The 27,701-nt window shown below is 36.6% G+C and overlaps 1 protein-coding gene and 1 pseudogene across 2 annotated transcripts, besides 2 other annotated features; both read left to right on the forward strand.

The window, feature by feature from the left end:
• Window positions 1–4,370: 4,370 nt before the first annotated feature.
• Window positions 4,371–26,739, forward strand: CLEC6A (C-type lectin domain containing 6A). Of its 2 annotated transcripts, NM_001007033.2 has the most exons (6): window positions 4,371–4,551; window positions 6,307–6,396; window positions 8,006–8,107; window positions 13,893–14,038; window positions 24,534–24,649; window positions 25,729–26,739. In NM_001007033.2, the coding sequence occupies exons 1-6, from the start codon at window positions 4,521–4,523 to the stop codon at window positions 25,871–25,873; spliced, it is 630 nt and encodes a 209-aa protein (NP_001007034.1). In that variant the 5' UTR covers window positions 4,371–4,520; the 3' UTR covers window positions 25,874–26,739. The 2 variants fall into 2 exon arrangements, with proteins under 2 accessions (NP_001007034.1, NP_001304928.1); NM_001317999.2 differs by lacking the exon at window positions 6,307–6,396.
• Window positions 8,991–9,692, forward strand: RPL15P17 (ribosomal protein L15 pseudogene 17; annotated as a pseudogene).
• Window positions 9,842–10,831: an enhancer, noted in NCBI's record as "OCT4-NANOG-H3K27ac hESC enhancer chr12:8614029-8615018 (GRCh37/hg19 assembly coordinates)". NCBI's record gives its function as "activates a minimal SCP1, AML or CMV promoter by ChIP-STARR-seq in naive H9 embryonic stem cells {active_cell/tissue: H9 hESC(naive)}" and the evidence as "EXISTENCE:reporter gene assay evidence [ECO:0000049][PMID:30033119]".
• Window positions 10,832–11,823: an enhancer, noted in NCBI's record as "OCT4-NANOG-H3K27ac hESC enhancer chr12:8615019-8616010 (GRCh37/hg19 assembly coordinates)". NCBI's record gives its function as "activates a minimal SCP1, AML or CMV promoter by ChIP-STARR-seq in naive H9 embryonic stem cells {active_cell/tissue: H9 hESC(naive)}" and the evidence as "EXISTENCE:reporter gene assay evidence [ECO:0000049][PMID:30033119]".
• Window positions 26,740–27,701: the final 962 nt, after the last annotated feature.

Raw genomic sequence — 27,701 nt, forward strand, 5'->3', positions numbered from 1 at the left:
TTGGCCCATAAGAGTTTAATCATTATTCATCTAGATTGGTTTCAACTTCCCAACAACTCAACTCCACTACTCCAAACCCCTGATAAGGGTTAAGGGAAAACAAAATCATTTAGGGTTACCGAAATGAGCTGTCCCAATTCCAGTAATGGTGAACTAGCTTGTTGTAGACCAACTCTTGCACGAAGAACAACTAACAGAACAAAGTCGGCTTCAAAGCATTGGGGAGGTATCATGGCACTGAGGGATGGGGCACATGAGGGTACAGGTGTGACCAGTGTGGATCCATGAACAATAAACTGCCACTTTTCCCTCCTTCAATTTCTGGATCTACATAATCTCTAGAATCTTGATATAATCCCAGGGACAGAGGATAGTCCCAAGAATGACTTCCAAAGAATTTCTTATTATCCAGTGGTAATAGGAATCAACAATAACAAAAAACCTAATACATTGAAAATAATGAGATGTTATATGTCTTGTGTATTTGAGGATATATGTATATTTAAATTTAAAAATAAACTTTACTGTCAAAAATGCAAACTTGGGGAGGGCGGAAAGATCACAAACAAGGCTGCCACTTCACATCTGGAGGGTTGCACGGCCGCGGGGCAGAGGCTCTCCTCACCTCCGCCCCTCACTTCCCAGACAGTGGGTCGGCCGGGCAGAGGTGCTCCTCACTTCCCAGACGGTGCGGCGGCCGGGCAGGTATTTGAGGATATTTTATATTAATTTGTGTGGACCTCATATCTGAGTCTAAATATCTCCCAGGGGCAATGTTTGTCACCAGCAATCGATGTAATTGTTTTTATCTTAATTCAGATACAAGAGAATCAAGTTGTGCCTGCTTAGTTCAATCATGGATAGATCCAATCATGGATACCAGTTTTCAAAAGAACAACCCAATACTCCTTTTAGGAAAAGGATTTAGTTCATATTGTTAGTTCACCTCTCACATCTCATTTAAAAGAGATCAAGCCAAAACAACAATTTTCACTTTGTCTACTGGTATACTAGTATATGCTTTTATTTTCAATCTCTAGTAGTTCCCATCTTCTCCATTGCTTGTTTTTGCATTACTCCCTGGACAGGCTCAAAGAACTTAATGTTTGTTTGGAGATGTGGCCTGAGCCTGCCCACAATTCTGCTTTTGCTCTGATTTAGCATTCTCTCTCTTGATTTTGTTTTATATTATATTATATTTTATATTGGTGCATCTCTTCTTTTTGCCTTTGCTCCTACCATTTCAGCGCTCTTGATTCAAAGGCATGTCACTGTAATCTAGAAATTTATACAGGACAAATAAATAGAAAGAAGCAAAGAGAATGGAGCATAGGGTTGCTAATGGTCAAGACCAGAACGTGATTAGGGGAGCATAATAGGAGACAGATGAGAACCAAAGAAGTGTTTAAACTACTTTACCTCCAGATAGCTGAGGAGAATGCATTCTTTTACTGGACCACCAAGTGATTCAATCCTTGGGTTTGTGTTTCTTTGTCTCTGACGGGAACTGGAAACAAATGTTGACATCTTATAACCACTTCTTCTCTCTTGTCCTTTTATGATCAAATGCATCTCAAATTAACCATTGGGGAAGTTTTCTGAGCTTTTATCCTGTTACTCAATGTCTATTTCATCATTCGCTATAGCTGTAACTATCTTGTCACTTTAAAAATCCCTGTTCAGTTTAAAACCATTGTTGAGAGGTTTTTATGGAGGCTCTATTATGAAGGCATGGTTGGTTACATCATTAGCCATTAGTGACTGAACTCAATCTCCAGGCCTTTTTCTTCCCCGGAGGAGTGGGGCTGAAAGTTTCCATCCTCTAGTCACATGGTTGGTTCCTCTGGCAACCAGCCCCCATCCTGAAGCAGTCTTGGGGAACATCAAGAGTTACCTCACGAGCATAGACACCAGGCTTGGTTAAACTTGTTATGAATCATAAAAGACTCTCTTTTCATCTTAAAATTTTTTTTTTAATGTTCAGTTAGGTAACTATTGTTAATTTTTTTCTTTCATCTTTTATTGCCCTGGAGCTATTTCAGAAACTTGGAACAAAAAACAAATAGATAACATAAGATTTTTCTTACACCTTTATTACTCTAGAACATGGTTGAGAAGCTGAGGACAAAACCCAAACATTGTAACCAAATCATTTCTATCAACCAGGAAGTTTTAGGGTTTCAGAAGCTCTGTGATAAACAAAAATGAAATATACATGTTTCTTATAATATCACAAGTTCAATATTCTAGTAGATTTTCTTGTATACAAGATTGCTCACTTGAGAATGTGGAGCTGTTTGTGATGTTAATAGAATGATCTACATTTTAGAGACTGCATGTGAATGATTAAGTATTTCAAAGCCCTTAGGTAATGATTGGAGGAAACCAAAATAACCTTCTCTAAGATAACTGCAAATTGTTGAGCTGAAAAAGGTGGCAATGTAGGAGAACATTCTTCCCCTCCTTCTTCTTGCCTGTTGGCAGAACAACAATTTACAAAGACAAAGGTCTTCCTGTCTTCCTTTCTACTTTTCCCAGCTAAGGATTAGCTCCTTTACGATACTTGTAAAAGGATTTAGAAGCAGATTTTACTCTTCCTGTTAAAATACCTTCCTGTATTTCATTTCCTTTTGGAATCGTGAAGATACTCTCTTCTTTGTCTTTTCACTATCATCCTAAAGGAAGTAGCTGAAGCCACATTAATATAGAGAGTTTATTTGGGCAAAGGATGAGGACAGCTACCCAGGAAAACACTTGTAGGTTGCCTTGGGAAGTGGTCTAGAGAGCAAAGGAAAGACTGAAGATTTTAAAGAAAAAAGAATGAATCTGAAAAATCATGGAACCATCCCAAATGCTCATCAATCAATGAGTGGATAAAGAAACTGTGGTATAGATATACAATGGACCACTACTCAGTCATAAGAAGCAATGTATTAATAGCACTTGCACTGACCTGGATGAGATTGGAGACTATTATCCTAAGTGAAGTAACTCAGGAATGGAAAACCAAACATCATATGTTCTCAATGATATGGGGAGCTAAGCTACGATGACACAAAATGTATAAGAATGGTACAATGGACTTTGGGGACTTGGGGGGAAGAGTGGGAGGGGGATGAGGGATAAAATATTACAAATATGGTGCAGGGTATGCTGCTTGGGTGATGGGTGCACAAAAATCTCACAAATCACCACTAAAAACCTTACTCATGTAACCAAATACCACCTGTACCTCAATAACTTATGGAAAAATAAAAATTAAAAAAAGAATGAATCAGGAGAGGGAGTGAATTAAAAAGTTACTCATCAGTAAATTATCATTGGTTTACAGAAACCACATTGATTAGTAATTAGCTGTATACTGTTAAATTTTAGGGTTCAGTTAGTCTAGAACCTACATAGCAAATGGCTTCAAGAGGTAAATTTCGTGCAAGGTGGCAGTGAGGCATGACTCCTGTCATATCTCTCTCATGAGTCCACTCTGGACTTGATAGTTTCAAGGCACTCACATTCCTCAAATAACAGTTTTTTTTTTTTTTCGTTCTCAGCACTCCATAGATTTATGGCTGTTTGTTAACATACTATTTAAGCAAGGCCTGTAAGCCACTGCCATGAAAGAGATAAATACATTTGAACTGAGTTCTCTCCTGAGTGATGGGTATAACACACATTGATAAACTGCTGCTTTTTCTCTTGTTTCTCTGCCTTTTGTTTTCAGGACAGTGTCTCTACTAAGAATCTATGAGGACAAGAAAACATCATATATTTTCTGTGCTACAATATAAAATTCATGAAGCCTGTTTCTGATTTTATATCACTTCAGGCTCCCTTTTGCCTAATCAGGGAGATTACAAAATATCACTGACATCTGCCCAATATTAGTCTGGATGCAGTAAGAATGTTTCATCACCTTTGCAGACTGATTTCAGAATGTTTCATTTTGCAGTCACATTCCTTAACAATGTTCATGGGTTTTGTTATTTACTATGTTACCCTTCATATCTAAACCATATCCATCCAATCAAACTTTTGCTTACTACCTAGGACACTGTTCAACACATGGATTAAGGCTTGCATAAAATAAGCAGCCAATGTAAAGGTTAGTTAGGGAGCACTTAATTTAACCAAGTTCTCTAAATAGATGTCTTTTAGGAGATAAAAAATTTTCTATTTTGCATGCCAGAATGAATAGGAATCAGACAGAGAAATTTTATGTTAGAAACTGAAGAAATGATCTAAGTATTCTTGTCAAAGTTCTCATGAATGGTTTTCAATGTTTCTCAATTCCTCTTTTGTTTTTTTTAACCCCACGTATCGAAATCACTGGAAACTTTAGTTGTAATTGTGACTTCTTCTTTTGAGGTACACTTAATGTTGGAAGTCTCTTAGTCCTATAAGAGTGTGTAGCAGTTTGTCCCTGAGCTCTAGCTTCTTTAAATGAAGCTGAGTCTCTGGGCAACATCTTTAGGGAGAGAGGTACAAAAGGTTCCTGGACCTTCTCAACACAGGGAGCCTGCATAATGATGCAAGAGCAGCAACCTCAAAGTACAGGTGAGTATTTCCTCAGTTTCAGAGGAAAGTGGAAGTGTATGGTGAAATGAGATCACCTGGAGAGAAGAAGTAGCCAAAGAACAGATTGAAGAGCTAGTGATTGGACCAATATAGTAGACTCAAAGGAATTTGAAAGAAAGAGTAATTCTTCAGAGCCAGAGCCATAAGCACTTGAAAGAATAAGAAAGCAAATATTTTTTGGGAGGTTTGTACCAGATTTTATTGATAGTTTAGGGAGACAGAAAAGATTTACATGATAGAAGGTAAACAGGGAAATAACTGATTATTGGATGTCTGCTCTTCAAAGTCTTTTGACTAATTTTGAAATCCAGGAAGCAGTACTCTTTCCAATTACCCTAAGTTTTTTTGTACTTGCTTTTCTAATTTTTTTGTAAGAGAAAAGCTTCCCATTTTTAATGCATGAAAATTTGACTTTAGCTTCAACCCTTTGCATGTCCATCAATAATGTTTTAAAAAAATTTTTATTAAAATTTTTTATGGATACAAAATAGTTGTGCATGTTTATGGGCTCCATGTCATATTTTGACACAAGAATATGATGCGTAATGGTAAAGTCTGGAAAATTACATTATCCATCACCTCAAATATTTATCATGTCTTTGTGTTTGGAACATTCCAAATCTACTCTTCTAGCTATTTTGACATATGCAATAAATTATTGTTGGGTTAGGCTCAGTGGCTCACACCTGTAATCTCAGCACTTTGGGAGGCTGAGGTGGGTGGATCACTTGAGGTCAGGAGTTAGAGACCAGCCTGGCCAACATGGTGAAATCCCGTCTCTAATAAAAAGACAAAACTTAGCTGGGCATGGTGGCATGCACCTGTAATCCTAGCCACTCAGGAGGCTGAGGCAGGAGAATCACTTGAACCCAGGAGGTGGAGGTTGCAGGGTGCCAAGATTGCCTCATTGTGCTTCAGCCTGGGTGACAGAGTGAGACTCCATGTCAAAAAAAAAAAAAAGTTAACTACAGTTATCCTGCTGTGCTAAGGGACACTAGATTTTATTTCTTCTAGCTAATTGTATTTTTGTAGGTACGAAACAACCCTTCTCTATCTTCTCTTCCCAGTTAACCTTCCTGGCCTCTGGTAACCACCATTCTATTCACTACCTCCATGAGATCAATTTTTTTAACTCCCACATATGAGTCAGAATATGCAATGTTTGTCTTTCTGTGCCTGGCTCATTTCACTTAACACGATGTCCTCTGGTTCCATCTGTGCTGTTGCAAATGGCAGGATTTTATTCTTTTTTATGGTGGAATAATATGCCATTGTATATATTATACTACATTTTCTTTATCCATTCATCTGTTGATGGACACTTAGGTTGCTTTCATATCTTGGCTACTGTGAATAGTGCTACAATAAACATGGGAGTGCAGATATCTCTTGGATATACTGAAGAAACCAAATATCAATACAGAGATATGAGAAATGGGAGACAAAAGTGATGTTTTGAGAAACGAAATCAATGGAAACATGTAATAGTTTAGAAGAAAGAATAAAGACATGGAAATTCCAGTTGGTTGAGTGTATGTTTTACCTGTATTCTTTTGGACCACAGAGCTACTACCTGGTTATTTATTCTGAGGGAGTTTGTAAGCTGTCTTCTTGCTTTAAGTTTTTAACTGCTCTGAGGTTCTTCATCTAGTTTGTTCATTGTTGTAAGCTTCCTGGGGATTTTGGCTCCCTGGCCCCCTGGTAACTGCATTTGTTGTCTTCCTGATTGGACAGAGAAAAGAGGCTGGTTGTCCCTGAGACTCTGGTCTGTGGCTGGGATTTCCATTGCACTCCTCAGTGCTTGCTTCATTGTGAGCTGTGTAGGTAAGTTCTTCACTGAGGTGCATTTTCCTTGCTTCCTTTCCCTTGAATATTCCATACAGGTTTCCTAGGATATATTCTCCTTTGCCCCATTAATACGTCAGCTCTTACTTGGAATGCCACACTTTCCTTGATTTCTCCTTTTCCCTTTGTTTTTCTCCCTCTATCTTTTGAAAACTGAATTCTTGTAGATGTACTTTACCTGGTTTTATTAGCATTTTCTGAATCATGGCCTCACATATCCATGTTGTCCATTGTAGCCATCATCTAAGACACCATCTTTCAGGACTGGATTCACTAGTAATTGTGTGTTCCCTGGTGACAAAACTCTTGTATTGGGAGTGCAACTCTAATTGCTGTCATAATTGTCATATTCTATATTAGATTCTTTGATTCATGTGCAGATCCTTTCCAATGTGAGAGGAAAAAGTATTCAAATGAAATGATGGAGATAAAGAGGATAAAATATTTCTTCCCTGTTCTGCTTGCCTCCAAATACATGTCTCAAGTTCATTGTGTGAGAAGTCTTAAAGACCTTTTTCCTCTCCGATTCACAATTTGGATTTCTATTCATTGATAAGGTGATTAAAAATGGGTATTGAATAGTCTGGGAGGGAGTGAAAGTGACTTCCCCTGTCAATCAGGTTGTAGCTATAGTTCCCTCAGAGATTTAAATAAATCTCACAATATTTAGTAAAATACAAATAATTATCACCAAAGTTAGAATCTGTTTTACTTTTCATAATCAAGTGCAAGAGAGAAGGGGGTTTAAGAATAGTTATTTCATAAAAAGAAACACAAATTCAGGATCTCAAAACATGAACTAAGAGCGGGGCAGAAAGATTTGGTTGTATTGAGCTCTAGTTATAGAAGGACAAAAAAGAAATGAGTGAAGAATCAGATCAGATCCTGAGAGATAAAAGGTCTTGCTGAAAGTGAACATTAACATAAAAGTTAATGTTCATTTGAGACATTAAAAATATTTTTATAAACGTTTAAAGTTTCCCCTTGGTGGTTACTTAGCCCATATGTTTATGTGTGGCTACCTGCAGCTAGAATTATCTAGAAAACATCAAAATAACCTGTGTGCTTGCATCAAGGTTATTAAGGCTAAGGAGAAGCAGACATCCAGTGAGTCCATAAATATTTATTGATGACTTTGTGACAGTTACCCTTGTAGGTGTTTGTGATTAAAAAAAATTATCAGTTTTCACCTTCAGACTTCCTTCTTTTTTTATAATAAAATATTTTTAAATTATTATTTAAAATTGTGGGTACATAGTAGGTGTATATATTTACGGGGTACATGAGATGTTTTGATACCTTTAAGTTGTGTTTGTGATTAATTGTTGTGGGAAACAGGCAGAATCTCTGTCCAAGAGCATGGAGCCTAAATTCTAGTGGTGAAAAGACCAAAAAATTAAATGAGGGATATATATAAAAAAATAAGATAAGTGAATACAAGCAAATAATAATTTGGCATGGTTTTTATGGGGCTTGCCTAGAGAAACAGCAGTGGGGGTCAGAGGTAAGCCAGCACTGTACAGATATAGAGCCTAAGGCTTTATAGCAAAATAATAGATGGACACTAATCCTTCTTCTTCCTTTACAGTAACTTACCATTTTACATATGGTGAAACTGGCAAAAGGCTGTCTGAACTACACTCATATCATTCAAGTCTCACCTGCTTCAGTGAAGGGACAAAGGTGCCAGGTAAATCTTTAAAATACTGAAATAGACTTTCTTTTTTCTCAGGGAGAGATCAGGGTTGAGCTCAAGATTGGTGTATTCTATTGTGCATTTGTGTGTGTATGTTTTATTAAAGCCTCTGCTTGGATATTTTCATAATTTCTCTAAACATACATGTTCATATCAGGCTCTAGACATGCCTCCAGAATAATTTCTTCATCACACTTCTTGAGCTTGGTAAATATTATAAACCTACATGCATGTAATTTGCTCAGGCCAACCCTGGAAATTATTTATAACAATTCTTACAGTTCTTACATTCCCCTCACCCTCCATCATAAAATAATTTCTTTGACATTTAAGGTTTCCAATTAATACTACCCATCTCCATCCCAAATACTAGCTTTATTCCTGGTCAAATTGGTTCAGGATGAGACTGATGCCTGTCCAAAATATACTGTTGTTAACTTCATATGCGGAGAGTTGGCAGAGTTGAATTTAGGATTATGGTTGGTGTATTAGTCAGTTTTCATGCTGCTGGTAAAGACATACCCGAGACTGGGCAATTTACAAAAGAAAGAGGTTTATTGGACTCACAGTTCCACGTGGCTGGGGAGACCTCACAATCATGGTGGAAGGTGAAAGTCACATCTCACATGGCAGCAGACAAGAGAAGAGAGAATGAGAGCCAAGTGAGATGGGTTTCCTCTTATCAAACCATCAGATCTTGTGAGACTTATTCACTACCGGGAGAACAGTAAGGGGGAAACCACCCCCAAGATTCAATTATCTCCCACAGGGTCCCTCTCACAGCACGTGGGAATTATGGGAGTACAATTCAAGGTGAGATTTGGGTGGAGACAGAGAACCAAACCATATCAGTCAGCTTCATGGAAAAGGGGAAGAGCCTTTCTGTCTGGCGGAAGCCATCACATAAGTCAAGATGGGTGCATACAAGTATATCCAGGAGCTATGGAGAAAGAAGCAGTCTGATGTCATGAGCTTTCTTCTGAGGGTCCGCTGCTGGCAGTACCGCCAGCTCTCTGCTCTCCACAGGGCTCCCCACCCCACCTGGCCTGATAAAGCGGGCCGACTGGGCTACAAGGCCAAACAAGGTTACCTTATATATAGGATTCGTGTTAGCCCTGGTGGCCAAAAACGCCCAGTTCCTAAGGGTACAACTTACCGCAAGCCTGTCTATCACGGTGTTAACCAGCCAAAGTTTGCTCCAAACCTTCAGTCTGTTGCAGAGGAGCGAGCTGGATGCCACTGTGGGGCTCTAAGAGTCCCAAATTCTTACTGCGTTGGTGAAGATTCCACATAAAAATTTTTGGGGGTTATCCTCATTGATCCATTCTATAAAGCTATCAGAAGAAATCCTGACACCCAGTGGATCACCAAACCAGTCCACAAGCACAGGGAGATGTGTGGGCTGACATCTGCAGGCTGAAAGAGCCGTGGCCTTGGAAAGGGCCATAAGTTCCACCACACTATTTGTGGTTCTCATCTGGCAGATTGGAGAATGTGCAATACTCTCCAGCTCCACCGTTACCGCTAACATAAGTAAAGTTTGTAAAATTCATACCTAATAAGCAATTTAGGACAGTCAAAAAAAAACAAGAAAAGAAAAGAAAAAGGGAAAGAGAAGTAAAGTGCATAGTTTTCTTCTCACCTATGTGGAACACTGTTTCAACAACTAGCATTTGAATGAATATTTTCCTGGAAACAACAATGGGCACCTTAGCTTTTGCCTTCAGAATGCCCTGAAATGGGACAGAGATGGATATTAATTAAATTAACTCCATATCCATCTGGCATAAGAGACTGTTCATTTGCCCCCTAAGTATATCCAATGTAAATGACCAGCCAAGCTGTTCAATACAACTACTTAAAGTTACAGAAAAGCTTATGTGATAAAATACAATTATTTTGTATAATACCATGTCAGCAAATAAAAGTGCTCCAATTTTAACAACATCCTTTCAAATGATCATTACAATGAAAAATAAAAATAAAAGTCCATACACAAAATTTCCATTTTGATTAACGTTAAAAAATAATTGAAATCCACATTGTATCTTCTTCAGTTTGTTTCCCACTCAGTTTTAGTCAGAGTGTGGAGACTTTCAGCTGCATACGAAGAGCTAGAGTTCCTTCAATCCACCTGCACTCGACCTAGGCCAGTTTTGACTGTTTTGCTTGTCAACCCCCAAAAAGGATTTTGAAAACATATATGCCCTCCAATACAGTTTAATTTTGTGGGGAAAAGAAAGAGCGATCAGATTGTTACTGTGTCTGTGTAGAAAGAAGTAGACATAGGAGACTCCATTTTGTTCCGTACTAAGAAAAATTCTTCTGCCTTGAGATGCTGTTAATCTGTAGCCTTACCCCCAACCCCGTGCTCTCTGAAACACGTGCTGTGTCAACTCAGGGTTAAATGGATTAAGGGCTGTGCAGGATGTGCTTTGTTAAACAGATGCTTGAAGGCAGCATGCTCCTTAAGAGTCATCACCACTCCCTAATCTCAAGTACCCAGGGACACAAACACTGCGGAAGGCCGCAGGGACCTCTGCCTAGGAAAGCCAGGTATTGTCCAAGGTTTCTCCCCATGTGATAGTCTGAAATATGGCCTCGTGGGAAGGGAAACACCTGACCGTCCCCCAGCCTGACACCCGTAAAGGGTCTGTGCTGAGGAGGATTAGTATAAGAGGAAGGCATGCCTCTTTGCAGTTGAGACAAGAGGAAGGCATCTGTCTCCTGCCCGTCCATGGGCAATGGAATGTCTCGGTATAAAACCCGATTGTATGTTCCATCTACTGAGATAGGGGAAAACCGCCTTAGGGCTGGAGGTGGGACATGCGGGCAACAATACTGCTCTGTAAGTCATTGAGATGTTTATGTGTATGCATATCTAAAGCACAGCACTTAATTCTTTACCTTGTCTATGATGCAGATACCTTTGTTCACGTGTTTATCTGCTGACCTTCTCTCCACTATTATCTTATGACCCTGCCACATCCCCCTCTCTGAGAAACACCCAAAAATGATCAATAAATACTAAGGGAACTCAGAGGCTGGCGGGATCCTCCATATGCTGAACGCTGGTTCCCTGGGTCCCCTTATTTCTTTCTCTATACTTTGTCTCTGTGTCTTTTTCTTTTCCAAGTCTCTCGTTCCACCTAACGAGAAACACCCACAGGTGTGGAGGGGCAACCCACCCCTTCATAATTTGACATCAGATTTTTATCATGCTATAGAAGCAAAAGCTTTAATTTCTGGAACATTGTAAATATTGACTTTAAAAAACAAAAATGTTATTTCTCTTTTAAAATGTATTTACTTGGGTGTAAATACTATTACAAAGTGTTAACCCCCATCACCCATTAAAACAATCAGAAACATGTATTGTTTAACAGTTGGATGTTTTACATCATTTTTCTATCCCCTTGAACTAAAATTTACATGATACTTTTCTCATCTGTCAAAATATGTAGATAAACATGCCTAATATTTTAATTTCCTGTGGCCCATTAGGCTTCGAGTGGTATAAAATGTGTTCTGCATTGATTTACTATCATAATTATTATCAGGACACAATATCAAAACATCACAAAGTTATTATAGATTTTGATAAATCATTAATAATTAAGTAAAACTTGGAAGTCTAAATCTTAATGAGATGAGTGGAACTTTGAAAAAATGCTATCGAATGTAATTATAATATTGTTGCTAACATATTCAACACCAATTCATCTCCTATTTTCCAATTTAATGACATTAACTGAAAAATCTTGCTCACTAAGTCAGTAAATTAGAATGAAAAAGGCTTTGTTTGAATGTCACTCAATTTTGGATATTCTTTCAGCATTATCTGCTTATGACGATATAGTGATCTGTTGTCAAAAATTATTTATAATGGTTTGTAAACTGAGAATTTGATCAGGTTACTCCCAATGTTATTGAAAGTAAAGAAAAAGAAATATTATAGAATAATTTTGCAAAAGATTTATTTCTCAGTCAGTAGTTATTTGCTTTCTCAAAGGTATACCAAAAAGTGTTCTAATAAGGCTTATCAAATGATTATGATTTACACCTGCTACTTTCTACACTTGCAAAGTAACGTGATCAGCTCATTATTCTCAGCATAAATTGAGAAAATAAAATACTATTAACGTTAGCATACCCTTTTGACAGATGCTTTTATTGATCACAGCTGTCAATATTTTTTGTCAGCCTTGGAGCTGGCAATTTCACATGTTCAACTTACAAAAAATGTTTGGTGTACATAGCTCAACTGGCAAAGTCAGTCAAATTTGACTTTCAAAATTCAAATCGTATGTTAATACATACTTTGAGACATATTAAAGCAATCATTAATAATGAGCAGAATGCACAATGAAGGTATATTTCTAAAAGCAGCCAATATGCAAATAATATAGGTATGGTTAATCTATTTTATTCATTTTATAACATTATAAAAGGAAGAATAAGATTTTTGGTTTTTAATCACTTAATATGTAATGATATAGTTATGTAAAAAAATGAATAAAATAGAACTATATGTAATAACATGGATGAATATTAGTAATGCAAAATAAAAAAATAAGCCCAAGAAGATCACATATCTTATCATTGCTGTTTAAAATTTCTTTCTTTTTCTTTTTTTTTTTTTTGAGACGGAGTCTCTCTCTGTCGCCCAGGCTGGAGTGCGGTGGTGCAATCTCGGCTCACTGTAAGCTCCGCCTCCTGGGTTCACGCCATTCTCCTGCCTCAGCCTCCAGAGTGCTGGGACTAAAGGCGTCCGCCACCACACCTGGCTAATTTCTTTTTGTATTTTTAGTAGAGATCGGGGTTTCATCTTGTTAGCCAGGATGGTCTTGATCTCCTGACCTCGTGATCCGCCCGCCTCGGCCTCCCAAAGTGCTGGGATTACAGGCATGAGCCACTGCGCCTGGCCTAAAATTTCATAACAAAACAAATCTAAACAATTTACTATTTAGGCATACATATATATTTGTTTAAATTATACTTAATCAAAATCATATTGATATAAAATATATCAGTGGATTTGTATATGGCTAGCTATGGATTTCTTTAATCCTAGAAGAGTGGCAAACTGGTACTTGTAAGGGAAGAGAACTGCTAATTGTTTAAGATGCTTAAAGCATTTAATACTGTGTGAAAATTAGTAATAGGTAACATTTATTGAGCAATTATTCTATGTTAAGCACCTTTTAAAATGCTTTATACATTTTATGTGATTAAGTCCCCCTGTGAGGTTGGCACTATTATTATTTCCATTTTAGAGATGGAATCATTGAGGCTCAAGAAGGTTATGAATTTGCTCAAAGACATACATGATAAATGGAATTCTAATGAGGCACAATTCTAATTCTCATAACCAACTTGTGAATAGTTACCATTTTGAAAACCTAAGGCTCTGTGGCTTGCCCAAGATTACTGAGCAGAACTGGGTTTCTAGGTTCGTCTGTGTTAGTCGTTTAAAATTCTAAGAGGACTTGGTGCTGATAATGTATAAGGGACATGAAAAACAAAACTCAATAGTGACTTTTTTTTTTTTTGCAAAAAAGAAAATTGGGAGAAATTCTGCAGGTAAACTTTAGTAAATATTGAGGACTTAATGCTAAAGAATGTTTATGTGAAATCAATTCTAGGAACCCAAATTCTATAATTCAGGAAACAGTAAAAACGTGAATTAAGAAACTGTCTCTACAAAGCAATTGCAGATCATTAATCTCATTTATCTTATCTTGCACTCACTCTTTTTTTTCATGTAACACAAAAATAGCCTGGGGATGTTGCCCAGCTTCTTGGAAGTCATTTGGTTCCAGTTGCTACTTCATTTCCAGTGAAGAGAAGGTTTGGTCTAAGAGTGAGCAGAACTGTGTTGAGATGGGAGCACATTTGGTTGTGTTCAACACAGAAGCAGAGCAGGTACTGTTTCCATTTAAAATTTATTTAATTGTAGAGAAAACACACAATATAAAATTTACTGTCATAACCATTTTTCAGTGTACTGTTCAGTAGCATTTACTATTTTCACATTACTGGGTAACAGATCTCTAGAACTTTTTCATCTTGCAAAACTGGAACTCCCCACCCATTGAACAACAACTACCCATTTCCCCATCCCTGAAAGCCCTGGCAATCACTCCTCTGCTTTCTGTTTCTATGAGTTTGACTATTTTAAATACTTAATATAAGTGAAATTATATAGTATTTGTCATTTTTTGAATAACCTACTTCATTTAGTATAATATCCACAAGATTCGTCCATGTTCTCATATATGACAGGACTTTCTTTCACTTTAGGGCTGAATAACATTCCATTGTATGTGTATCTAACACTTGTTTTTTGTTTCTTTGTTTTATTTGATTTCTTATTTTCCAGGTTTATTGAAGTGTGACTGACCACCAAAAGTAGTATATATTTAAGGTGTACACTGTGATGATTTGATATACAAATATATTGTGAAATGGTTACCACAATCAAGCTAATTAATATATCTATTACCTCATATATTTAGCCTTCTTTTTCTCCTTTTTTGTGGTGAGAACACATAAGATGCTACATTTCCATTCATTTACTTGTCAATTGTCACTTAGGTTGCTTCCACTTTGCAGCTATTGTGAATAATTGTGCAATGAATGTGGGTGGGCAAATAATCTTTTAGAGTTTTTGCTTTTAATTCTTTGGATATATACCCACAAGTGGGATTGCTGGATCACAAGTTAGTTCTATTTTTAATTTTTTGAGGAACCTTCATACTGTTTTCATGATGACTGTGCCATTTAACATCACCAGCAAGAGTATCCAAGGGTCTCACTTCACATTCTGGTCAACACTTGTTATTTTCTGTTTTGCTTTTTGAATAGTGACAATCCTAATGGATGTGAGGTAATATCTCATTGTGATTTTGATTTGTATTCCTTTAATGATTAGTGATGTTGAGCAAGTGTTGTTTTGTTTTTTTTTTTGAGACAGAGTGTCGCTCTGTTGCCCAGGCTGGAGTGCAGTGGCGCAATCTCAGCTCACTGCAACATCTGCCTCCCGGGTTCAAGCAATTCTCTGCCTCAACCTCCCGAGTAGCTGGGCTTACAGGTGCCTGCCACCACGATTGGCTAATTTTTGTATTTTTAGTAAAGATGGGTTTCACCATCTTGGTCAGGCTGGTCTTGAACTCCTGACCTCGTGATCCACCTGCCTTGGCCTCCCAAAGTGCTGGGGTTACAGGCGTGAGCCACCTCACCCGACTGGCAACTTTTAAAACGTACTGTTGACAATGTGTATATCTTCTTTGGAGAAATGTCTATTCAAGTCCTTTGCCCTCTTTTTAACTGTGTTATTTGTTTTATTGTTGTTGAGTTGGAGGTGTTCCTTATATATTCTTGATATTAACCCCTTACCAGATATATGGTTTGCAAGTATTTTCTTTTATTCCTTAGGCTGTCTTTTCCTTAGTTGATTGTTTCCTTTGCTTTGTAGAAGTTTTTAGTTTGGTGGAGTTCCATTTGTCTATTTTTTTGCTTTTGCTCCCCATGATTTTGGTTTCATATCCAATACATTGCTAATTTCAATGTCATGAATCTTTTTGCTTATGTTTTCTTCCTGGAGTTTTACAGTTTTAGGCCTTTGTTTAGGTCTTTAAAACATTTTGAGTTAATTTCTTATATGACGTAAGGTAAGGATTCAACTTGATTATTTTGCCTATGGATATCCAGTATTTCTAGCTCCATTTGTTAAAGAGAGATTGTCTTTCCCCATTGTGTGGTATTGGCACCTTGTTGGAGACTATTTGACCATATATGTGAGTGTTTATTTCTGGACTCTCTATTCTGTTCCATTGGTCTCTATGTCTGTCTTTATGCCAGCACCACACTGCTTCGATTACTGTAGCTTTGGAAGATATTTTGAAATCAGGAAGTGTGAGGCATCCAACTTTGTTCTTTTTCAAGGTTATTTTGGCTATTAGGGATTTCTTGATATTCCATATGAACTTTAGAATTTTCTTTCTTTCTGCAAAAAATAACATTGGGATTTTGGTAGGGATCACATTGACTCTTTAGATTGCATTTTAACTATATTAAGCCTACCAATCATTAAACATGAGATGTATTTCCATTGATTTGTGTCCTCTTTGGTTTCCTTTATCAATGTTTTGTAGTTTTTATAGTGCAAGTGCTTTGCCTCCTTGGTTAAGATTATTTCTAAGTATTTTATTATTTTTGATGCTACTTTATTTATTTTGCTTTTTTTTTTTCCCCAAGACGGAGTTTTGCTCTGTCACCAGGCTGGAGTGCAGTGGTGTGATCTTGGCTCACTGTGACCTCTGCCTCCCAGGTTCAAATGATTCTCCAGCCTCAGCCTCCCAAGTAGCTAGGATTACAGGCATGAGCCACTATGCCCAGCTAATGTTTTGTATTTTTAGTAGAGATAGGGTTTCACCATGTTGGCCAGGCTGGTCTTGAACTCCTGACTTCAAGTGATCCACCCACCTCGGCCTCCCAAAGGGCTGGGATTACAGGCGTGAGCCACCACATGTGGCCTTGATGCTACTTTAAATGGGATTATTTTCTCAATTTTCTTTTTAGATTGTTTATTTTTAGTGTTTAGAAATGATACTATTTTTTCTACATTGATTTTGCATTCTGAAACTGCTGAATTTGCTTATGAGTTCTAACAGATTTTTTGTTGAATATTTAGGGTTTGTTACATATAAGATTATGTCATCTGTGAACAGAGACAATTTTACTTCTTCCTTTCTTATTTGGATAATTTTTTTCTCTTCCTTGCCAAGTTGCTCTGGCTAGGACTTCCAGTACTATGTTGAAAAGAAGTGATGAGATTAGGCATTCTTGCCTTGTTCTGAATCTTAGAGGAAAAGCTTTTAATTTCTCAAAATTTAGTATGATCCAGGGATGCAAGGATGGTTTAATATCTGCAAGTCAATTAACGTGATACACCATATAAACAGAATTAAAAACAAAAATTATATGATCATCTCGATAGACCCAGAAAAACCATTTGACAAAATCCAGCATATCTTTATTATTAAAACCCTCAGTAAAATCAGCATAGACGGGACATAGCTTGAGGTAATAAAAGTCATCTATGACAAACCTACAGCCAACATTATACTCAACAGGGAAAAGTTAAAATCATTCCCCCTGAGAACTGAAACAAGACAAGGATGCCCACTCTTACCATTTTTATTCAACATAGTACTGGAAGTCCTAGCCAGAGCAATCAGACAAGAGAAAAAAACCAAAGGGCATCCAAATTGGTAATAAGGAAGTTGAACAATTGCTGTTTGCTGATGACATGGTTATACCTAGAAAACCCTAAAGACTCATCCAAAAAGTTCCTAAAACTGATAAATGAGTTCAGCAAAGTTTCAGGATACAAAATTAATGTACACAAATCAGTAGCTCTGCTATATACTATCAGTGGCCATGTGGAGAATCAAATCAAGAACTCAACCCCTTTTACAGTAGCTGCAAAACAAAAATATTTAGGAATTTACTTAACCAAGGAGGTGAAAGACCTCTCTAAGGAAAACTACAAAACACTGCTGAAAGAAATCACAGATGACACAAGCAAATGGAAACACATCCTATGCTCATGGATGATTAGAATCAATATTGTTAAAATGACCATATTGCCAAAAGCAGTCTACAAATTCAATGTAATTTCCATAAAAGTACCACCATCATTCCTCTCAGAACTAGAAAAAAAAAACCCTAAAATTCATATGGAATCAAAAAAGATGCTGCATAGCCAAAGTAAGACTAAGCAAAAAGAACAGATCTGGAGGCATTACATTACCTAACTCTAAACTATACTATAAGGCCGTATTCACCAAAACAACATGGTACTGGTATAAAAAGAGACACATGGACCAATGGAACAGAATAGAGAACCCAGAAATAAAGCCAAATATTTACAGTCAACATCTTCAACAAAGCAAACAAAAACGTAAAGTGGGAAAAGGACACCCTATTCAACAAACCGTGGTGGGATAATTGGCAAGCCACATGTAGAAGAATGAAACTGGCTCCTGATTTCTCATCTTATACAAAAATCAACTCAAGGTGGATCAAGGACTTAAATCTAAGACCTGGAACCATAAAAATTCTAGAAGATAACATTGGAAAAACCCTTCTAGACATTGGCTTAGGCAAAGACTTCATGACCAAGAACCCAAAAGCAAATGCAACCTAAACAAAGATAAATAGCTGAGACTTAATTAAACTAAAAAGCTTTGCACAGCAAAAGAAATAATCAGCAGAGTAAACAGACAACACACAAAGTAGGAGAAAATCTTTGCAATCTCTACATTCAACAAAAGACTAATATCCAGAATCTTCAATGAACTTGAACAAATCAGCAAGAAAAATACAAACAATCCCATCAAAAAGTGGGCTAAGGACATGAATAGACAATTCTCTAAAGAAGATATACAAATGACCAACAAACTTATGAAAAAATGCTCAACATCACTAATGATCAGGGAAATGTAAATCAAAACCACAATGTGATACCACCTTACTCCTGCAAGAATGGCCATAATCAAAACATCAAAATATAATAGATGTTGGTGTAGAGGTGCTGAAAAGGGAATACTTTTACTGTTGGTGGGAATGTAAACTAGTACAACCACTGTGGAAAGCATTGTGGGGATTCCTTAAAGAACTAAAAGCAGAATTACCTTTGATCCAGCAATCCCACTACTGGGTATCTACCCAGAGGAAAATAAGTCATTATATGAAAAAGATACTTGTACATGCATGTTTATAGCAGCACAATTCACAATTGAAAAAATGTGAAACCAGCCCAAATGCCTGTCATTTGTCTATAATACTACTCAGCCATAAAAAGAAATGAAATAATGGCATTGGCAGCAACTTGGATGGAATTAAAGACCATTATTCTAAGTGAAGTAACTCAGGAATGGAAAACCAAACATCGTATATTCTCACTCATAAGTGGGAGCTAAGCTATGAGGATGCAAAGGCATAAGAATAATATAATGGACTTTGGGGAGTCAGGGGAAAGTGTGAGAAATGGGTGAGGGATAAAAGACTACACATTGGGTACAGTGTACACTGCTTAGGTATGGGTGCACCAAAATATCAGAAATCACCACTAAAGAACTTATTCATGTAACCAAACACCATATGTTCCCCCAAAACATATTGAAATAAAAAAAATTGAGTATGATGTTAGTCATGGGATTTATATATATGACTTTTATCATGTTGAGATACTTTCCTTCTGTTCCTTGTTTGCTGAGTGTTTTTATTAGTAAAGGATGTTGTATTTTGTCAAATGGGTTTTATGCACCAATTGAGGTAATCAGGTGGTTTTTGTTCTTAATTTTCATAATGTGGTTTATTACATTGATTTTCATGTGTTGAACAATTTTTACATTCCAGAAATAAATCCCAGTTTGTCATTGTGTGTAACCCTTTTAGTATATTATTGGAGTGGTTTGTAGTATTCTGCTGAGAGTTTTTATATCAGTATTCATCAGACACATTAGTCTGTTGTTTTTTCATAGTATCTTTTTCTAGTTTTGATACCAGGAAAATGCTGATCTCATCAAATGAGTTCAGAAATATTTCCTCCTCTTCGATTTTTTGATATTGTTTCAGGAGGATTAGTGTTAATTCTTCTTTAAATGTATGGTAGAATTCACCAGTGAAGCCTTCTGATTCTGGGCTTTTTTTTGTTGGGAGGTTTTGATTACAGATTAATTTCCCTACTAGTTATTGATCTATTCAGATTTTTATTTCTTTATCATTCAGTCTTGGCAGGTGGTATGTTTCTAGAATTCTATGAATTTCTTCTGTTACCTAATTTATTGGCATATAATTGTTCTCAGTAGTCTCTTATAATCCCTTTTATTTCTGCAGATATTTTGTAATATCTTCTATTTCACATCTCATTTTAGTCATTTGAATCTTCTTTCCTTTTTCTTACTTAGTCTAGATAAGCATTTGTCAATGTCTCCTACTCATAGCTTAGCTCCCACTTATTATGGTGGTGTCTATTTCTCCCTTTCTCTTCTTCACTTTTGAATGATAGTTTTCCCAGATACAATTTTCTTAGTTGGCTGATTTTATTTTTTTCAGTATTTTGAATGTATCATAACAGTCCCTTCTGTCCTGCAAGGTTTCACTGAGAAATCTGCTGACAGTTATAGGAGCTTGGTTGTACATGATGAGCACTTTTCTCTTGCTGCTTTTAACATTCTTTCTCTCTGACTTTTGACAGTTTGATTAAGACAGTGTCTAGAGATTTATTTTGTTCCTTTAATTTAGCCTTTTTTGTTGTTTCATTGTACATCTTGAGATCTTTTGTTTACATTTAGGCATCAAAAAAACACCTATTCTAGTGTTTATTGTCTGGCTTCATACAGACCTTCACCAATCAGCCTGGGTATAGATTCCAGGAGTCTCTCAAACTTTTTCTGGTGATGCATCTTCTCTGGATCTGTGTGTGTACTTTTCCAGATAAAGTAATTTACACAGGTTTCATTTTTAGGAGCTTGTATTCTCTTGCTTTACCTGGTGTCTATATGCAGTACCAGTCTCTTTAGAGCAGTAATAAGCTGCCATGCTTGCTTTCGTTCTCAGCCACCACCAAGTATCCCAAATATGTTGTGTTTCCTATTAGCAGTCTGAATTAGGTGTGACAGAAACCAGTCCCTAAGGCAGTCCCCTGGAAAGCCAGAAAACTGATGCATGTTTCACTCTTCTCTTTCCCTTCCAAGAGAGATGCTTAGAGATGGGAGTTTTTTCTCTATTGCATTGTGCCCCAGTATGAGGAAGGATTATGGCAAGTAAATGCAGCAAACTTTCTTACCTGCTTCAATGCCAGTTTTCTTGGCTTTGGTCTTACCAGTGGTGCTGTAAACTTTTAACTATTTTCTGAAGTTTACAAAGGCAATTTGGTTCATATATTAAGTCAGTGTCTTCATGGGGGAACTAGGGCATGGGGCTTTATATTCTGCCATCTTACTGACATCAGTGGAACATGTACTTTTAAAAATTAATTTCAACTTCTGTCTCAGATTTAGAAAGTACATGTTCATGTTTGTTATATGGGTATATTGCACAATGCTGAGGTTTGGGGTACAACTGATCCTGTTACCCAGGTCCTAAGTGTAGTACTCAATAGTTAGTATTTCAACCATTACCCCATTCCATTCCCTCTCCCTTCCTCCTCTACTAGTCCCCAGTATCTATTTTTGCTAAGTTTATATCCATGAGTACTCAGTGTTTAGCTCCTACTTCTTTTTTTTTTTTTTTTTTTGAGACGGAGTTTCGCTCTGTCGCCCAGGCTGGAGTGCAGTGGCGCGATCTCGACTCACTGCAAGCTCCGCCTCCCGGGTTCACGCCATTCTCCTGCCTCAGCCTCCTGTGTAGCTGGGACTACAGGCACGCGCCACCATGCCCGGCTAATTTTTGTATTTTTAGTAGAGACGGGGTTTCACCGTGTTAGCCAGGATGGTCTCGATCTCCTGACCTCGTGATCCGCCCGTCTCGGCCTCCCAAAGTGCTGGGATTACAGGCGTGAGCCACCGCGCCCGGCCAGCTCCTACTTCTTATAAGTGAGAACATGTGGTATTTGGTTTTCTGTTCCTGTGTGAATTCACTTAGGATAATGGCCTCCAGCTGCATCCATGTTGCTGCAAAGGACATGATTTAAATCATTTTAATGACTATATAGTATTCCATGGTGTATATGTATTATATTTTCTTTATCCAATTCACCATTGATAGGCACCTAGGTCGATTCCATGTTTTTACTATTGGAAATACCATTGCAATGAACATATGAGTACATACTTTTTTTGGTGAAATGGTTCATTTGCTGCTGGATATATACCTAGTAATGGGATTTCTGGGTTGAATGGTACTTCTGTTTTATGTTTTTTGAGAAATCTCCAAATTGCTTTCCATGGAGGCTGAACTAATTCGCATTCCCACCAGCAATGTATGTAAGTGTTCCCTTTTCTCTACAGCCTCTCCAGCATGTGCTGTTTTTGACTTTTAAGTAATAGCCATACTGACTGCTGTGAGATGGTATCTCATTGTGCTTTTTGTTTGCATTTTTTTCATGATTAGAGATGTGCATTTTTTCTTATGTTTGTTGGCTGCTTATATATCTTCTTTTGAGAAGTGTCTGTTTATGTCTTTTGCCCATTTTTTAATGGGGTTGTTTGTTTCTTGTTTGTTCAATTGTTCAAGTTCCAGATAGATTCTGGATGTTAGACCTTTGCTGGATGTGTAATTTGTGAATATTTCTCATATTTTGTAGGTTGCCTGTTTGCTCCATTGATAGTTTCTTTTGCTAAGAAGCATTTTAGTTTAATTAGGTCCCACTTGAGAATTTTTGTTTTCATTGCAAATGCTTTTGAGGACTTAGTCATAAATTCTTTCCTGAGGCTGATGTCCGGCATGGTGGTTCCTAGGGTTTCTTCTAGGATTCTTATATTTGAGGTCATATACTTAAACTTTTAATCCATTTTGAGTTAATTTTTGTCTATGGTGAAAGGTAGGGGTTCAGATTTATTCTTCGGCATATGATTACCCAGCTATCCAGCACCATTTATTGAATAGGGAATTCTTTCTCTACTGCTTTCTATTGTCAACTTTGTCAAAGATCAGATGGCTACAGATGTTTGGCTTGATTTCTAGATTCTCTATTTTGTCCCATTGGTCTATGTGTCTATATTTGTAGCAGTACTCTAATGTTTTGGTTACTGTAGCCTTATAGTATAGTTTGAAGTTGGGTAATGTGATGTGTCTGGCTTTGTTCTTTTGAGCAGGTACTTTTAAAAATACAAATTAATACCAGGAAAACTTTCTTATTTAGTATGTAACATTTTTGGCTGAGAAGCACTACTCCCCACCCTGGAATATTAGGTTATGTCAGGAAGCCTCGGGGCAATACACAACAAATACTTGTTAAGCCTTCAGGTTCAATTCAAAATTAATTTCCATTTGCCTTGATAAAGTTACTTATAGGAAAACAATCTGGACATAGCTAAAGGTATTTTAGAAGCTTAATTGGAAAGATGAGAAGAATTATTTTTTATGAAATAAATAAATCGACTATAGTTAAAACCTAGTGAGCTCTCTATTATGTTTAACTTTTCCAAGTAATTTGCTACTTTCTTTCTTTTTTTTAAAATTATACTTTAAGTTCTAGGGTACATGTGCACAACGTGCAGGTTTGTTACATAGGTATACATGTGCCATGTTGGTTTGCTGCACCCATTAACTCATCATTTATATTAGGTATTTCTCCTAATGCTTTCCCTCCCCTAGCCCCCTACCCTACGCAGGCCCCAGTGTGTGATGTTCCCCGCCCTGTGTCTAAGTGTTCTCATTGTTCAGTTCCTACCTATGAGTGAGAACATGTGGTGTTTGATTTTCTGTCCTTGTGATAGTTTACTGAGAATGATGGTTAGTAATTTGCTACTTTCTAGGGAAGAAGTACTCAGGGGAGTAGAGAAACAAATTTGTATTTTAAGAACCCCAATGCAATTTCACTGAAAAACAGTAGGAAATTAATATGGAACACATCTTAGCAGTCAACGTGCTCCAGAAAAACTCTCTCTATATATATATATATGTATGTGTGTGTGTGTGTGTGTGTGTCTATACACACACTCATATGTATATATGAAAAGATTTATATGAAAAAATAGGCTCACATGATTACGTAGGCTAAGAAGTCCTGCAGTCTGCCATCTGGAAGTAGGAGACCTAGAAAAGCTGGTGGTGTAGGTCCAGTTTGAGTTCAAAGGCCTGAAATCCAGGGGAACCAATGGTGTAAATCTAGTCCAAGGCTAGTAAAAGATTGATGTCTTAGGTCAAGCAGCAGGCAGGCAGGAAGAAATAAAAATATGGATGAATTCCTCCTTCCTCTGCCTTTTGTTCTATTCAGGTCCTGAACAGATTGGCTAATGCATACCCACACTGGGGAGGGCAATCTACTACTGAGCTTACCAATTCAAATGCTAATCTCATCTGAAAACACCCTAACTCTCATCTGGTCACCCCTTGGCCCAGTCAGATTGATGCATAGAATTAGCCATTACACCATCTCAACATATAAAATAAAAAAAAAGATTGAAAACACAAAACTAAATTTATGTACATTTAAAGACAATTCTGTTTCTTGGTAAAGAAAAGAATGAAATTCTGAGACAAGAATTCCTGTATTAGGACTGTTTCTTCCCTGTAATGATATTGTTACTTTTGGCCTGTACTCCTGGTCAGAAGGCCATCATGTGACTGCTCCTTGCACCTTGTGTTTTCTTCTAAAGAATAGCTCTGAAGGCTATAAGCAACCTTTACTCTGTTCAATCTGGAAATACCAAAGTCTTTGACTCCTTTTTTTTCCTTCATGCAGAATTTCATTGTCCAGCAGCTGAATGAGTCATTTTCTTATTTTCTGGGGCTTTCAGACCCACAAGGTAATAATAATTGGCAATGGATTGATAAGACACCTTATGAGAAAAATGTCAGGTGAGTGCAGTTCTGGGGCCTTGTTTACATAGAAAATCTAGGGAAATTTTGTTAGGAGTTACTAATAATGTTAATATTGGTAATTATGATAACAGGATCTAACAATTATTAAGCATTACTAAGGATATGCATTATCTCACTTAAACTTCATGAAAACTTCTCTTTTTATGAACTAATTTTACAGATAAAAAATTAAATAACTTGCCCCAAATCAATAAACTAATAAGATGAGAAACTGGATGTCAACTCCATGTCTATCTGATTCCAGAGATGGTGCTCTAAACTATTATATTTTGCTGTTTCTAAACACAAGTAGACACTTAAACTGATCTCTAATTAATAAAACTTAAAATATCTGGGTCAGAACTATGTACAATTTTAGTAGAAAAATTACATAATAATACTATTTACTTGTGGCTTTAAAATAGAATTCAGTTATACATTATCTTATTTGATTCTTCCAAAATCTTGTGAGTTAGTTAGGGACCTTATTATAATTCCCATTTTTAAAGATGAGGAATCTAATACCTGGGGAGATTGAATTACTTCCCCATGATCAAAATGAGTGAGTATCAAAACCAGGTCTTGTAATTCCAAAAGTTATGTCCAACCTCCCAGTCTTTACCCAGAACGTATTCCCTGGAGGCAGGGTAACTTTTACATCCAGATTCAGGCATCCTAAGATTCACTTAAGGCAGATCCATGAGAATAAAGAAGCTTAGGAAGGTGATAAGAATACATAGATGTAAGGAGATAGCCTCTTTATTTCATGTCAGTAAGAAGGAAATTATTTAATAACCCCGCCAGCATAAAGGCTCTGTAAAGAGGAAGATGATTGCAGCGGAAAGATCTAGGAATAAACCATCTCATAAAATTTTGCCAGCAGAATGTTAAAGGAGCAAGTGTAAAAGTATGTGTCCATACTTGAGGATTTGAGGAGAGTAGTATGAGAAGAAGGAACAATCATTGGAATGTTCTCTCTTCCTAAATCCCACTTTGTTCACCCCAGACTTTTATACTTTCTAATCATTCACCATGCATTCTTTGAAGATGTGTACTACCTTTTTGTTTTCCTTTAGATTTTGGCACCTAGGTGAGCCCAATCATTCTGCAGAGCAATGTGCTTCAATAGTCTTCTGGAAACCTACAGGATGGGGCTGGAATGATGTTATCTGTGAAACTAGAAGGAATTCAATATGTGAGATGAATAAGATTTACCTATGAGTAGAAGCTTAATTGGAAAGAAGAGAAGAATTACTGACGTAATTTTTTCCCTGACGTCTTTAAAATTGAACCCTATCATGAAATGATAATTTCTTCCTGAATTTACACATAATCCTTATGTTATAGAGGTTCACAGAAATGGAAAGATACCTGTTTCCCTTTAATCAATCTTCTCGTTTCCTCTTTTCCATTAATGATAGAATGCACCCTTCCTCTCTTTGTTCCATTCTTTCACTTGTTATTCATTTTTTTCTTTCTTCACACTTCATTACACAAATATTTATTGTTTCAGAGACTGTACTATTTTGTTTGTTAGAAGATTTATAAGGCAGTATCTTTTGAAAATTATGACTTTCCTTCCTCAATATACCATAAAGAAATCTTTTTGGTCAAGATGGTAGTTGGAACTACAATCATCTGAAGGCCTGACAAGAGTTGAAAGACATGTTTTCTAGATGGCTCACTCACATGGCTGGCAACTTGGTGTTGGCTATTAATGTAACCTGGAAATAAATTTTATTCTGCAGTTAGGGATTTGGCATTTTATATATGTTGATTCAATCAAGTTTGGCAAGCAGGGTGTTCGATACTGCTATATCCTGTATTCTTGGTTTATTTGTTTTATTTCTGAGAAATATGTGTTAAGATCTCTCGCTGATTGGGAATTTGTCTATTTCTCATTTAAATTTTGTCAAATCTTTCTTTGCTTGCAAGCATTTCTTGTTACCCAAATCTAATCTATTCCTGAAAATATGATGGTTAGCAAAGTTTGAGATAACTAGAGCCTGTAATCCATCATTTTAAATGGCAATGATAATGACAGTTTATTTTTATGTTATATAAAAACCTCAACAAATTTTCCAAACAACTACCAAAATGGTCATTAATCTGTATCCACAAAGGATTTCTGCATAACATACTTTAAAACAAATTACCTAATTATTTAGTGCATATTAAACTTATTGGTGGGCATGACTATATGCAACAGTTGCATGATATATGATACAAATTATGTTATTCTTTTCCATTGCACTGAAAATACCATAATATAAAGAAGAATCCCATCATCCAAATTGAGCCTATATTGATTGATACTCAGAAGAATCTGGCAGTAGGAGCCTATAAAGGGATAAGCAATTGGGAAAGGATTGGGAAGTTGGTAGTACTGAACATCTTCTCACCTGGACTCATGAGCAACTTGAATAGTTGTAACTGTGATGCATATGTAGATTCTAACACATTTTTCCCCCTTGAATAGAAATTTGGCACAACAATTTTTTAAATTAATTTAGCAAATATTTGGATATTAAAGCTTCTTATAGAAAGAGATACCTGTATATTTAAGCCATGATGAGGTATATACAATGTTATAATTATTACTTGTACATGGCAAATTAATTTTTTTATCATTGTGGAGTCACTTTCTTTAAATTTAGTAATGCCTTTGGCTTTAATTTTTCTCCTGATATTAAAATAGATACAGTAACTTTCATTATGTTAGTGCTGTAAAATTTTTTTTTCCATCTTCTATTTTTGACCATTTTTATTCCACATGTGCTCTTAATAAGTAGCATATAGTTAAATTTTAAAAAATCCAATATGGCAATCACCTTTTAGGTTAAAAATTTAATCCATTTACATTTGTGACAATTCGACATATATATGGTTCTAAATCTATCATCTTACTAGGTGGTTTCCATTTCCTCTGCTCCAAAATATTTTTTTTACAGCTTATAACACAACTTTTATTAGAAAAGTTATACATAACACAGCATCAACTATTTTCAAGAACCCAATAAGCAACAAAAACCAGACTAACAAAATGTGT

This window comes from Homo sapiens, chromosome 12 (genome assembly GCF_000001405.40).
Source record: "Homo sapiens chromosome 12, GRCh38.p14 Primary Assembly".
Taxonomy (NCBI): Eukaryota; Metazoa; Chordata; class Mammalia; order Primates; family Hominidae; genus Homo; species Homo sapiens.